Genomic DNA, 12036 nt, shown 5'->3' with positions numbered 1-12036 from the left:
GCACACAAGCTCATGTATACCTGGGCGTACAAGGGCCCAACATGGCCCACGAGTACAGGATATTTAAAGGCCCTCACAAAACAATGACAGGCTTCTAAGACACTTGTCTCTTACTTTCATTCCAACACAAATTGAACTATACTAGGCTTTTGCTTTTTTAGGCCCTAACAGAAATTCCGTGGTTTAGGAGATTAGGTACACCCTCACCACTCCACAGGGAGAATGGCCTGAACGTCAGAGTGAACCCCTGACCCCTTTCCTCTCTGAATGAGGCAAAGCTCAGACTTCACCTCTACCCCTAAACAAGGCACCCAAACACACGTCACAGTAAATAAAGGACATCCAGAAAATATCACAGGCAGAGGTACTTTATTTGGCAATTTTAACATGACACGTAGAGAAAAGAACCCTGCCCTCCTTCACCAGCCTCCCCAGAAATCCCACCTTCCTATTTCAAGACAGAGTAATAACAGCACCATTTTACACGAAAGGGAACAGCCACAGCCTTGGCACCATTTCTGGTTCCACTTTCCATGGAAGGGCAGAGAAGCATTGCTCAAACCCCACCACTGGGTCAGAAACCAGGCAAACAGCAGCAGTCACATCTGACCTTTTGCACACACGAGAGCCCGACACTCATCCTGGCTCCCAAGCCTTCCCAAGGTGACCCTGTCTCAGCCACCATCATGCAGCTCTTCTAGTCCCCTCCCGGCCCACTCTGAGGAGCTGAGCAATGATGAGCAGAATCTTCATGTCTCTGGCAGGCGGAGGAGGGTTCCTGAAGTGGTAGAGATGCTGTGCAGGAGAAAGACAAGGCTGGAGCCAGACGCCTAGGCTCAAGCTGTGAGGAGAACTTAGAACTTGGGAAGGGGTGCTCCCGGGTTCCAGAGAAGAATGAGAGCCACTGGCCTTCACTAGGAAACTAAGCATGAGCTGGGAGGAAATCCCACTTTGGGTCATTGCTCCATAATCTGCCAGAGGCCAGGGAAAGACTCACCAGTCCACTAGCTGGGCCCCAATGAGGTCGTGCACATGGTAGGTGAGGCCAAGCCGCACCACGACAGGCGCCCGCCGGCCCAGGAGCTCTGATAGGAGCAGTTCCCGGTACTTTGCCTTCCGGACCATGCTAAGGACAGCCTGGCGCCCTAGAGGAGAAGTGGCACAGGAAAGGGGAAAGGTGAATAAGGCCTAGAGGCCTGAGGAGCCACCAAAAGGTGAGGGGCTGCAGGCTTGAGCTGCAGATGGGATACCTTTAACAAAGTACTTGATGAATCTCCCAGCTCCAGGCACAGCTAGCCACCAGCTCCCAGCATCTCGGACGGTGAGGACTCCAGCATTCACCAGATGCCTGAGGGCAGTGGGAAGCCAGCAGAGATGAGGGCTGGGCTCTGAGAACCATCTCTCCTCCTCATCCATTAATGTTTACACAAGTCTCCAGAAACACGGGCAACCATGCAAGAGAGACTGGATAACAAAATCCCAGCCTGGGGTGGTTCTGTGCTCGCACCAACTGCCTCTGTTGGTGCAGTTGCTTGTTCCAGGCCCCCTACCTGGACTGCCCTCCCTCCACTTTTTCTTTTCCTGCTACTATTACTGGTTCAGTTAAATAGCTTCTCTTCCCTGACCACATGTCCTGACACACATTCGGTCTTAGGACCGAGGAGAGGAATCAGAGTCTTCTGCGCTCCTGCCACTGCCTAGGCAGACTGCGCCATGGCTCCCACCACATCTCTCTGAGAGTGTGTCTGCCCATGTGAGATCAGTGCTATAGTTTTTCAAATGCTTTCACATATTCCATGGGTTACAAAGTAGGAGGCCTGAGCCAGATACAGCCTCTCAAAATTAGATTTTTATTTAGCTCCTGCCCAGTTGTTTTTTAGCTTTGGGTTTTTTTTGTTTTAATGTGAATGTTTAGGGGTATCCCAGCTCCTACCATTCTCTATCCTCTTAGTCCCAGTATGATTAACATCAAGCTTTTACACTTCCTGCCAGGCCCCTGTGTGCTTTTGATAAGCCACCAAGAACTGAATTCTATTTCAGGGCTCTTTCTAAGGCCCAGGTAAGATAGGCCTCCTCTCTTGTGGGGAGGAATACAAACTTGGGTCATTTTATTAACAAGAAGAGTCAGCTTTTTGGCAGCTTTTCTGGCAGGTTCACCAAAAAAACAGGAGGACAGGCTGGATGGAACTGGAGGGAGGCAGGGAAGCACCAGATGCCTGACTTTGGTTGGTTCCACAAGTCTCACGTGATTTCTGAGTCCCTGAAGCCAAAGGTCTGTGTCATTTGGTCCTGCTGGAAACTAAGGTCCCCACAGGCTGGAAGTACTGAAGCTAGAAATTTCTGCACTGCCCCAGCATACGGTCGGCCATCACAGGCCTTGAGGACCTACAAGCAGAGATGAGAGACATGGTCCATCCCCACCCTCACTCTCTACCAACCTCCACCCCCAGGACAGCATTTCTCTTCCTGTCTTACCTCTTGCTCAGATCCTTCCACCTCTCATACCCTTCTTCTTCCTCCTCCTCTTCATCCTCCTCCCCCTCTTCCTCCCCCCCTCCTCCTCCCCCTCCTTCCTTCCTCCTCCTCCCCCTCCTCTCCCCCCCTCTTTACCCTCTCACTCCTCCCTCTTTCCCTCCTGTCTCTCTCCCTCATATTACTATTTACCAGGGCCCTGTGCCCTCTCCATGGGATGTGGGGGCAGGGAAATTCTTTCTTTTGTTTTTATTTCTGTTTCCCAAGTTCCCTGTCTCCCCCAACCTGTGCCCTCCCCCCAGCACCCCTGACGCACACAGTCACATACTCTGGTCCTGTAGTCCTCAGTGAAGATAATTCCATGGGCATCCAAGTCGAAGCCCAGCTGGACGATTCTGATCTCCCCCTGCTCTTGAAGCTCCTTCTGTCTCCACAGAGAAGAGAGTGAAAAGAGGCGTATCAGGGTAAGATGCTCTGCTATACTCTGGGCGCTCTCAGGCAGGGAGATTTTGTTTGCCAATATGGGGGCATTTTCTCTTAGTAAAGGAAAAACTGTGTGAGAAAATAATCAAGCAAATGACCAAGCAGCCTTTTCCAACTAGCTACCCACATTCTCATCCACCTGCCTTATATATGGTCTATCAAAGAGTCAATATAATTTCTAAGACCAGGCACTAAGATAAAATAGTGATTAAGATGCAGGCTGTGGCTTCAAAACATTAACAGTCTAAATTCTGGGTAGGGTAAGGTGGGGAGGAGTATGGGATTCAATGTTTAAAACAAATAAAAATAAACCAGGACTTCTGTTTACGAGAATACAGCAAGAACTAATCCACCTGTTGAAAATTAACTAAAATCCTGGATAAAAATGTTATTTTAAAATTGTTTAAGACCAGGTACAGTGGCTCATGCCTGTAATTCAGCATTTTGGGAGGCTGAGGTAGCAGGATCAATTGAGGACAGGAGTTCGAGACCAGTCTGGGCAACACAGTGAGACCCCCCCACCCGCCACATCTCTACAAAAAATGTAAAAACAGCCAGGCGTGGGGGCAGACACCTATGGTCCTAGCTACTTGGGAGACTAAGGCAAGAGGATCACTTGACCCAGGAGTTTGAGGCTGCAGTAAGATATGATTGCAACTGGGCAACACAGTGAGACCCCATCTCTTAAAAAAAATTGTTTAGACACTAAAGAGCTCACAGGATAACAGGAATTACCACTAATATAACATCTAAGTAGGCCGGGCGAGATGGCTCAAGCCTGTAATCCCGGCACTTTGGGAGGCTGACGTGGGTGGATCACCTGAGGTCAGGAGTTCAATATCAGCCTGACCAATATGGTAAAACCCCGTCTCTACTAAAACTACAAAAATTAGCCGGGCGTGGTGATGTGTGCCTGTAGTCCCAGCTACTCAGGAGGCTGACACAGGAGAACTGCTTGAACCCAGAAAGTTGCTGTGAGCCGAGATCATGCCACTGCGCTCCAGCCTGGGTGACAGAGTGAGACTCTAACTCAAAAAATAAAAATAAAAATAACTGGGGCCGGGCACGGTGGCTCATGCCTGTAATCCCAGCACTTTGGGACGCTAAGGGTGGATCACTTGAGGTCAGAAGTTCAAGTTCAAGACCAGCCTGGCCAACATGATGAAACCCGGTCTCCATTAAAAATACAAAAATAGGCCAGATGCGGTGGCTCATGCCTGTAATCCCAGCACTTTGGCAGGCTGAGACGGGTGGATCACGAGGTCCGGAGATCAAGACCATCCTGGCTAACACGGTGAAACCCCATCTCTACTAAAAATACAAAAAAAAAAACAATTAGCCAGGCATAGTGGCGGGCACCTGTAGTCCCAGCTACTCGGGAGGCTGAGGCGGGAGAATGGGTGAACCCAGGAGGCAGAGCTTGCAGTAAGCCAAGATCATGCCACTGAACTCCAGCCTGGGTGACAGAGCGAGACTCCGTCTCAAAAAAAAAAAAAAAAAAAAAATTAGCTGGGCGTGGTGTCAGGTGCCTGTAATGCCAGCTACTTGGGAGGCTGAGGCAGGAGAATCACTTGAACTCAGGAGGCAGAGGTTGCAGTGAGCCAAGATCATACCACTGCACTCCAGCTTGGTGACAGGGTAAGACACTGTCTCAAAAAAAAAAAAGTAATTGGAACATGGAGGGCATTTATTAATCTAGGCAAATCTGCCCAGAACATTTTCAAAAGTAACTGGGCGCATAAGGAAACAAAACTCAAAGAGAGAATAAAAACAAACCCCAAAAGACAAGTAATAGTGGAATTATCCTTTCCACGGTCTCCCTCTGATGCCGAGCCGAAGCTGGACTGTACTGCTGCCATCTCAGCTCACTGCAACCTCCCTGCCTGACTCTCCTGCCTCAGCCTGCCGAGTGCCTGCGATTGCAGGCGCGCGCCGCCACGCCTGACTGGTTTTCGTATTTTGTTAGTGGAGACGGGGTTTCGCTGTGTTGGCCGGGCTGGTCTCCAGCTCCTAACCGCGAGTGATCCGCCAGCCTCGGCCTCCGGAGGTGCCGCGATTGCAGACGGTGTCTGGTTCACTCAGTGCTCAATGGTGCCCAGGCTGGAGTGCAGTGGCGGGATCTCGGCTTGCTACAACCTCCACCTCCCAGCCGCCTGCCTTGGCCTCCCAAAGTGCCCAGAGTGCAGCCTCTGCCCGGCCGCCACCCCGTCTGGGAAGTGAGGGGCGTCTCTGCCTGGCCGCCCATCGTCTGGGATGTGAGGAGCCCCTCTGCCTGGCTGCCCAGTCTGGAAAGTGAGGAGTGTCTCTGCCCGGCCGCCATCCCATCTAGGAAGTGAGGAGCGTCTCTGCCCGGCCGCTCATCGTCTGAGATGTGGGGAGCGCCTTTGCCCCGCCGCCCCGTCTGGGATGTGAGGAGCGCCTCTGCCCGGCCGCGACCCCGTCTGGGAGGTGAGGAGGGTCTCTGCCCAGCCTCCCCGTCTGAGAAGGGAGGAGACCCTCCGCCCGGCAGCCGCCCCGTCTGAGAAGTGAGGAGCATCTCCGCCCGGCAGCCGCCCCCTCCAGGAGGGAGGTGGGGGGGTCAGCCCCCTGCCCGGCCAGCCACCCCGTCCGGGAGGTGAGGGGCGCCCCTGCCCAGCCACCCCTACTGGGAAGTGAGGAGCCCCTCTGCCCGGCCAGCCGCCCTGTCCGGGAGGGAGGTGGGGGGGTCAGCCCCCCACGCAGCCAGCCGCCCCGTCCGGGAGGGAGGTGGGGGGTCAGCCCCCCACCCGGCCAGCCGCCCCGTCTGGGAGGGAGGTGGTGGGGTCAGCCCCCCCCGCCCGGCCAGCCGCCTCGTCCGGGAGGTGAGGGGCGCCTCTGCCCGGCCGCCCCTACTGGGAAGTGAGGAGCCCCTCTGCCCGGCCAGCCGCCCCGTCCGGGAGGGAGGTGGGGGGGTCAGCCCCCCGCCCGGCCAGCCGCCCTGTCCGGGAGGTGAGGGGCGCCTCTGCCCGGCCGCCCCTGCTGGGAAGTGAGGAGCCCCTCTGCCCGGCCACCACCCCATCTGGGAGGTGTGCCCAACAGCTCATTGAGAACGGGCCACGATGACAATGGTGGTTTTGTGGACTAGAAAGCGGGAAAAGGTGGGGAAAAGATTGAGAAATCGGATGGTTGCCGTGTCTGTGTGGAAAGAGGTAGACATGGGAGACTTTTCAAAAAAAAAAAAAAATAGTGGAATTATCAAAAAGACAATTAAAAAAAAAAAAAACAGCACTTTGGGAGGCCGAGGCAGGCAGATCATCTGAGTCAGGAGTTTGAGACCAGCCTGGCCAACAGGGTGAAACCCCATCCCTATAAAAATACAAAATTAGGCCGGGTGCGGTGGATCATGCCTGTAATCCCAGCACTTTGGGAGGCCGAGGAGGGCAGATCACGAGGTCAGGAGATCAAGACCATTATGGCCAACATGATGAAACCCCCATCTCTACTAAAAATACCAAAATTAGCTGGGCATGGTGGCGCGTGCCTGTAGTCTCAGCTAATCAGGACAGTGAGGCAGGAGAATTGCTTGAACCCAGGAGGCAGAGGTTGCAGTGAGTTGAGATCACACCACTGCACTCCAGCCTGGGCAACAGAGCGACACTCCACCTCAAAAAAAAAAAAAAAAAAGGGAAAACTAAGGCAACAATGACCACAGCAGTCACCTCCCAGGGACATTCTGATCAGAGACATTTTGATCAGAGAGGGATATATGTGGGATACTGGTCATATTCTATAGTTTGACCTAGGGAGTGGCTAGATAGGTATCTGCTTTATAAACATCATTTAAATTATATATGTTTATATTTTCATTCTGCAACTTTTAAAGGTTTTTAAAAACAAAAGCTAACACCAATACATTAAAATCAACAAATACTCCTTAAGGAGTGGTTCCATCTGGCATGCTTCCTCACGGGAGACCTAGTCAGGGAGACTAGCTCACCTCAAGTGAGTGCTAGACTGCCTTCCTTTTCTTTCCTCTTTTCTTGAAAGATCACTATTAACCTTCTACCTGCTAAATCCAATGGACAGATTTCAGTTCTGGGTTTTTTTGTTGTTGTTTTCATTTTTTTAGAGACAGGGTCTCCCTCTGTTACCCAGCCTGGAGTGCAGTCGTGCAATCATAGCTCACTGCAGCCTCAAATTCCTGGGCTCAAGCACTCCTTCTGCCTCAACTTCCCAAACAGCTAGAACAATAGGTGCACACCACCATGCCCAGCTAAGAATTTTTGTGTTTTAATTTATTTATTTAGTAGAGATGGGATCTCAGTTATTTAGTAAAGATGGGGTCTCACTTTGTTGCCCAGGCTGGTCTCAAACTTTTGGTTTCAAGCTATACTCCTGCCTCAGTCTCCCAAAGTGGTGGGAGTACAGGCATGAGCCACCACACTCAGCCTAGATTTCAGTTTATATTTTACTTTACCTCTTCCCTCTTCTTAGACCACTGTCTTGAATCACAGGTTCTAATACTGCCAACTACTTCACTTTCTCAAAAATCTCTTTACTTTCACAGTAGGCCTCTTCCTGGGTTACTTTTTTTTTTTTTTTTTTTGAGACAAAGTCTAGCTCTATCACCCAGGGTGGGGTGCAGCGGTGCTATCTCAGCTCACTGCAACCTCCGCCTCCCCAGCTCAAGCAATCCTCCCACCTCAGCCTCCCCAGTAGCTCTATAGGCGCGTACCACCACGCCTGGCTAATTTTTGTATTTTTTGTAGAGATGGGGTTATGTCATGTTGCCCATGCTGGTATCAAACTCATGAGCTCAAGAGATCCACCCACCTCGGCCTCCCAAAGTGCTGGGATTACAGGTGTGAGCCACCGCGCCGGCCTCTGGGTTCCTCTTAACTCAGGCAAGTCCCTCTCTGCCTCTGTCACAGATTCCTCTTCTTCTGCTTTCCCTTTATGTCAGTGGATCTCAAATTTTAAGGCACACTTAAAAAGCACTTGAGGCAGTTCAAAAATGTAGAGTCCCAAATCCCGCCCCAAGAGAGCGTAATTCATTAACCTTGGATGAGTCCCAGGAACCTGTATTTTTTTTAACAAGCAGCCCACGTAATTTTGACACAGGCATAATAACTCAGCTCATATATTCAGTAACACTGCCTTAAATGATGGTGTTTCCCAGCATTGTGGATTTGACCCTATTAACTTCCACTCTAAACCTGGAGTCCTTAACCACGGACCTCGCAGGATTAGTAAAATATTTCCCCCCTAACTATACATACACCCTATGTATATGTGGCAAACGTGCATTTTTCTGGAGAGAGATAGCCATAGCTTTTATCACCTTCTAAAGATTACAAAAAGGTTAGAAATCACTCCTCTACCCACTCTTCCTACTGGATCTCACCACATCACAGAATTAACCACTTGCTATTCACACCTCCATGACTTGTAATTCTATTATCACTGGCCCAGAATTCTCTCCAACTCTCATATCCAACTGTCTAATACCTTTGTCTTTGGATGCTCCACATGCACCATCAACTCAACTTGTATAAAATTAAACACATTATCTGTAGTCCAACAACTAAATGTGCTCCTAATACCACCAGCCACGCAGTCATCTGGAAAGTCTGAGTTGTCCTGGACTCCTCCCTCTTCCTCACTCTCCTCTCCCTCCCTACTGCACTGACCTAATTTAGGCCTTCACCACTTCTCAGATGCAGTATCTTCTTAGCTGACCTCCCTGCCTCATCCACTATCTCCAATACACCATTCCCTCTCTCTATGATATTCTCTACCAGCCCATCGCCTCAGTGTAAGATGGAAACAACACTGATGTACAAGGCCTGTCATGATCTGACGTCTGACTGCACTCCCAGCGCTGTATGTTCGAACCATGCCCCATGACTCGGTTTCCCCAAAAGCCTCGTTCTTCTACCTCCATGATTTGAAATGCCCTGTACTACCTGCGGGACTTTTAACAGGGTCTCTGTGGCACCCCAGTGCCTGGCACAGTGCCCTCGCCTGAAAGGCCTAATGCTTGCTGAACGGCTGGCGGAGTGACTGAGTGACAGGGAATTCCAGGAGTTAGGAAAGGGGCTTCCGGCGGTCGCACCGACGCCCCTCACCAGCTGCCGGTCGGCCACGGTCCTGTCAGGCACAAGGCTGTACACCTGGCTCCTCAGCACGATGGGCGGCAGCGCGTCCTCAAACAGGCCTCGCGGGAACAGCTGCATGAGTTCTGAGACAGCCGCGCGCGCCGACCCTGGGCAGATAAATCGGCTCACGGACAGGGAACTGGGGCGGGGACGCGGTTCTAACAAAACTCTCGGCTACCGGAAGCGAGGCCCCACCCCCGGGGTTGCCATGGTTACCTGGCTCACCCCGAAGAGGATCCGACTCCACAGGCCCTCGCTTCCGCCGCCTCTTAACTCCAAAGGTCTCCGGGATCAGGTGATGCCTCTTCCAGCTCATATCCCGGGATTTTATGGTACCGGGGAAGGGGTAGGAATGGAGGGAAGAGAACCTGAAAATAGGGTCTTCCGGCGCAGAGCAGTGACGTACGGTCTCCCCGGGCGTCCCTCCTAGACCAGGTGATGACGAAAGGAGCGTCAACTTGTCGTCCCTCAGGCCCGTCAGTGCTGGGAGGGGCGGTGGCGACGCACATACCAGCATCACCTCCGCCAGGCCGGGCCCCACGCCGGCCGCGGATTGGCTCCCTCCAAGGGCACGCACGCCCGGGGACTCGTTGGCGGCGTGGAGGGGCGCCGGTGGCCACGTTGGTGTCAACCTCCTTCGTGAAGCTCACACCTCCCCCGCCCCGGGAGGGGTTTGCCCGCCACTGTCGCTGAATGATTGCATCATCGAAAGCAGAAAACCACTTTTGCATCCTTCGGCCTCTGGCGTGCCTGCCATGACGTCATAGCTCTGCGGAGGTGGAAGTTGGGGAGCTTTGAGGTAACTGGATTCTTGATCTGAGCGCAGACGTCCTTCCTAACCTCACTGCATTTGGAGGACCTGGAGGGAGGGTGGGTGAAGGGCAAGGAAAGAGGCAGGATGAGAGCTTGGCCGCGGTGGCGTCTGAGGGGCCTGAATGTTTCAAGGCCAGAGCCTGGCGATCAGGTGGCTCGCTTAGTCCTAAACCAGTCATCCTTCTCCAGGCCTCCTCTGTAGAATGGAAACTCTGTACCCCTGCTTGTCTTAGGACCTCATGGATCCCAGGGGGACCAAGAGAGGAGCTGAGAAGACAGAGGTAGCTGAGCCTCGGAACAAACTACCTCGTCCAGCACCTTCTCTGCCCACAGACCCTGCCCTCTACTCTGGGCCCTTTCCTTTCTACCGGCGCCCTTCGGAACTGGGCTGCTTCTCCCTGGATGCTCAACGCCAGTACCATGGAGATGCCCGAGCCCTGCGCTACTATAGCCCACCCCCCACTAACGGTCCAGGCCCCAACTTTGACCTCAGAGACGGATACCCGGATCGATACCAGCCCCGGGACGAGGAGGTCCAGGAAAGGCTGGACCACCTGCTGTGCTGGCTCCTGGAACACCGAGGCCGGTTGGAGGGGTGAGCAAAGCGTGGTAGGCAGTATATCTGGAGACCCGTACCTACCCTCTAAAATTAGGAGAGCCAAAGCCGGGGTGAGAATCAGTCCTTAGAAGAAACAAGACTATTCTTCGAGGGGAGCATCTCACTAATGCTTGTGTCAGACCTTCAGCCTGTAACTCCTGCCTCTCAGGGGTCCAGGCTGGCTGGCAGAGGCCATAGTGACGTGGCGGGGGCACCTGACAAAACTGCTGACGACACCGTATGAGCGGCAGGAGGGCTGGCAGCTGGCAGCCTCCCGGTTCCAGGGAACACTATACCTGAGTGAAGTGGAGACACCGAACGCTCGGGCCCAGAGGCTTGCTCGGCCACCGCTCCTCCGGGAGCTTATGTACATGGGATACAAATTTGAGCAGTACATGTGTGCAGGTGAGTTGCCCCTGCTTCATAGCCCCCTTCCCCTTCCCAGAGGTTGAGAGCCCCCCACGCCTGCTGCTGCTTCTCTCCTTGTGCAGACAAACCTGGAAGCTCCCCAGACCCCTCTGGGGAGGTTAACACCAACGTGGCCTTCTGCTCTGTGCTACGCAGCCGCCTGGGAAGCCACCCTCTGCTCTTCTCAGGGGAGGTAGACTGCACAGACCCCCAAGCCCCATCCACACAGCCCCCAACCTGCTATGTGGAGCTCAAGACCTCCAAGGAGATGCACAGCCCTGGCCAATGGAGGAGTTTCTACAGGTTCAGGATCGGGGTGGGCAGGGCGAGAGCTTAGGCTTGAAGGCTGGGAAAGGGACTTGGGGAGGAGGGTGAAGGCAGAATGGAGGGTGCACGAGGGGTCCCACTGATCCCTTGCTTTTCCTGTCAGACACAAGCTCCTGAAATGGTGGGCTCAGTCATTCCTCCCAGGGGTCCCGAATGTTGTTGCTGGCTTCCGTAACCCAGACGGTTTTGTCTCTTCCCTCAAGACCTTTCCTACCATGAAGATGTTTGAATATGTCAGGGTAAGGGAACGATGTTGCAGCTCCCACCCGTATCCCCAAACACCAAGACCACAGGTCTAGCATCCAGGGCAACAGCCTGCCTTCTCTCCTCCCACCACCCCCACTGCCCATCTTCTGCCTCCTCCTCTGCCTGCTCCAGAATGACCGTGACGGCTGGAATCCCTCTGTGTGCATGAACTTCTGTGCCGCCTTCCTTAGCTTTGCCCAGAGCACGGTTGTCCAGGATGACCCCAGGTGAGGCATTCAGCTCTGTCCCTCCCCTCTGGATCCCAGGATCCAGCCTCTGGCCCTCAACTGATGCCTCCATCTGCCCCCCAGGCTCGTTCATCTCTTCTCTTGGGAGCCTGGCGGCCCAGTCACCGTGTCTGTACACCAAGATGCACCTTACGCCTTCCTGCCCATATGGTATGTGGAAGCTATGACTCAGGACCTCCCATCACCCCCCAAGACTCCCTCTCCCAAATAGTAATGCTTTAGAGGGAGGCAGTCATATCTCTGTGTGCAGATAATAAAAGCATATTTCTAAGAGGTTCTCTCGCTGTCTTCTTAGCTGAGTCATCCCTGTCCAGCAACTCAAGCA

At 53.2% G+C, this 12036-nt stretch overlaps 2 protein-coding genes across 14 annotated transcripts, besides 1 other annotated feature; one reads left to right on the top strand and one right to left on the bottom strand.

Moving 5' to 3' along the window:
* Nucleotides 353-10624, bottom strand: WHR1 (winged helix repair factor 1). Of its 3 annotated transcripts, none has more exons than NR_026717.1 (8): nucleotides 10525-10624; nucleotides 9288-9930; nucleotides 9042-9178; nucleotides 2801-2896; nucleotides 2246-2385; nucleotides 1251-1348; nucleotides 998-1145; nucleotides 353-795 (listed from the first exon to the last, which is right to left on the bottom strand). NR_026717.1 is itself a non-coding variant. In NM_032454.1 (8 exons), exons 1-8 carry the CDS (start codon nucleotides 9800-9802, stop codon nucleotides 750-752), a joined length of 1107 nt encoding a protein of 368 aa, NP_115830.1. In that variant the 5' UTR covers nucleotides 9803-9930; the 3' UTR covers nucleotides 353-749. The 3 variants fall into 3 exon arrangements, 2 of the variants coding, with proteins under 2 accessions (NP_115830.1, NP_004188.2); NM_032454.1 differs by lacking the exon at nucleotides 10525-10624 and having other exon boundaries at nucleotides 2789-2896; nucleotides 9288-9497; nucleotides 9583-9930; NM_004197.2 differs by lacking the exon at nucleotides 10525-10624 and having other exon boundaries at nucleotides 9288-9436.
* Nucleotides 9164-9874: an enhancer, noted in NCBI's record as "H3K27ac-H3K4me1 hESC enhancer chr6:31939702-31940412 (GRCh37/hg19 assembly coordinates)". NCBI's record gives its function as "activates a minimal SCP1, AML or CMV promoter by ChIP-STARR-seq in primed H9 embryonic stem cells {active_cell/tissue: H9 hESC(primed)}" and the evidence as "EXISTENCE:reporter gene assay evidence [ECO:0000049][PMID:30033119]".
* On the top strand, nucleotides 9661-11984 carry DXO (decapping exoribonuclease). Of its 11 annotated transcripts, none has more exons than NR_199379.1 (7): nucleotides 9661-9870; nucleotides 10218-10479; nucleotides 10652-10887; nucleotides 11047-11193; nucleotides 11321-11456; nucleotides 11596-11690; nucleotides 11775-11984. NR_199379.1 is itself a non-coding variant. In NM_001371206.1 (7 exons), the coding sequence occupies exons 3-7, from the start codon at nucleotides 10848-10850 to the stop codon at nucleotides 11920-11922; spliced, it is 639 nt and encodes a 212-aa protein (NP_001358135.1). In that variant the 5' UTR covers nucleotides 9661-9870; nucleotides 10218-10479; nucleotides 10652-10847; the 3' UTR covers nucleotides 11923-11984. The 11 variants fall into 11 exon arrangements, 7 of the variants coding, with proteins under 7 accessions (NP_001358135.1, NP_005501.2, NP_001425408.1 ...); NR_199378.1 differs by having other exon boundaries at nucleotides 10118-10479; NR_199381.1 differs by having other exon boundaries at nucleotides 10118-10479; nucleotides 10974-11193; nucleotides 11532-11690.

Source organism: Homo sapiens, chromosome 6 (genome assembly GCF_000001405.40).
Source record: "Homo sapiens chromosome 6, GRCh38.p14 Primary Assembly".
In the NCBI taxonomy this organism is placed as follows: Eukaryota; Metazoa; Chordata; class Mammalia; order Primates; family Hominidae; genus Homo; species Homo sapiens.
The sequence above is the reverse complement of the archived record's forward strand: the minus strand, read 5'-3'. Positions and strand labels throughout refer to the sequence as shown.

Bases quoted from the DNA above. Each gene is read 5' to 3' on its own strand.
- WHR1 (NM_032454.1), bottom strand. From the start codon at position 9,802: ATGCAAAAGTGGTTTTCTGCTTTCGATGATGCAATCATTCAGCGACAG. The intron at 1,146-1,250 runs GTATCCCATCTG...CTTCTCCTCTAG, and splicing joins CATCAAGTACTTTGTTAAAG to GGCGCCAGGCTGTCCTTAGC. The intron at 796-997 runs GTGAGTCTTTCC...TCTCCTGCACAG, and splicing joins GGGGCCCAGCTAGTGGACTG to CATCTCTACCACTTCAGGAA.
- DXO (NM_005510.4), top strand. From the start codon at position 10,124: ATGGATCCCAGGGGGACCAAGAGAGGAGCTGAGAAGACAGAGGTAGCT. The intron at 10,480-10,651 runs GTGAGCAAAGCG...CCTGCCTCTCAG, and splicing joins CACCGAGGCCGGTTGGAGGG to GGGTCCAGGCTGGCTGGCAG. The intron at 11,457-11,595 runs GTAAGGGAACGA...TGCCTGCTCCAG, and splicing joins AGATGTTTGAATATGTCAGG to AATGACCGTGACGGCTGGAA.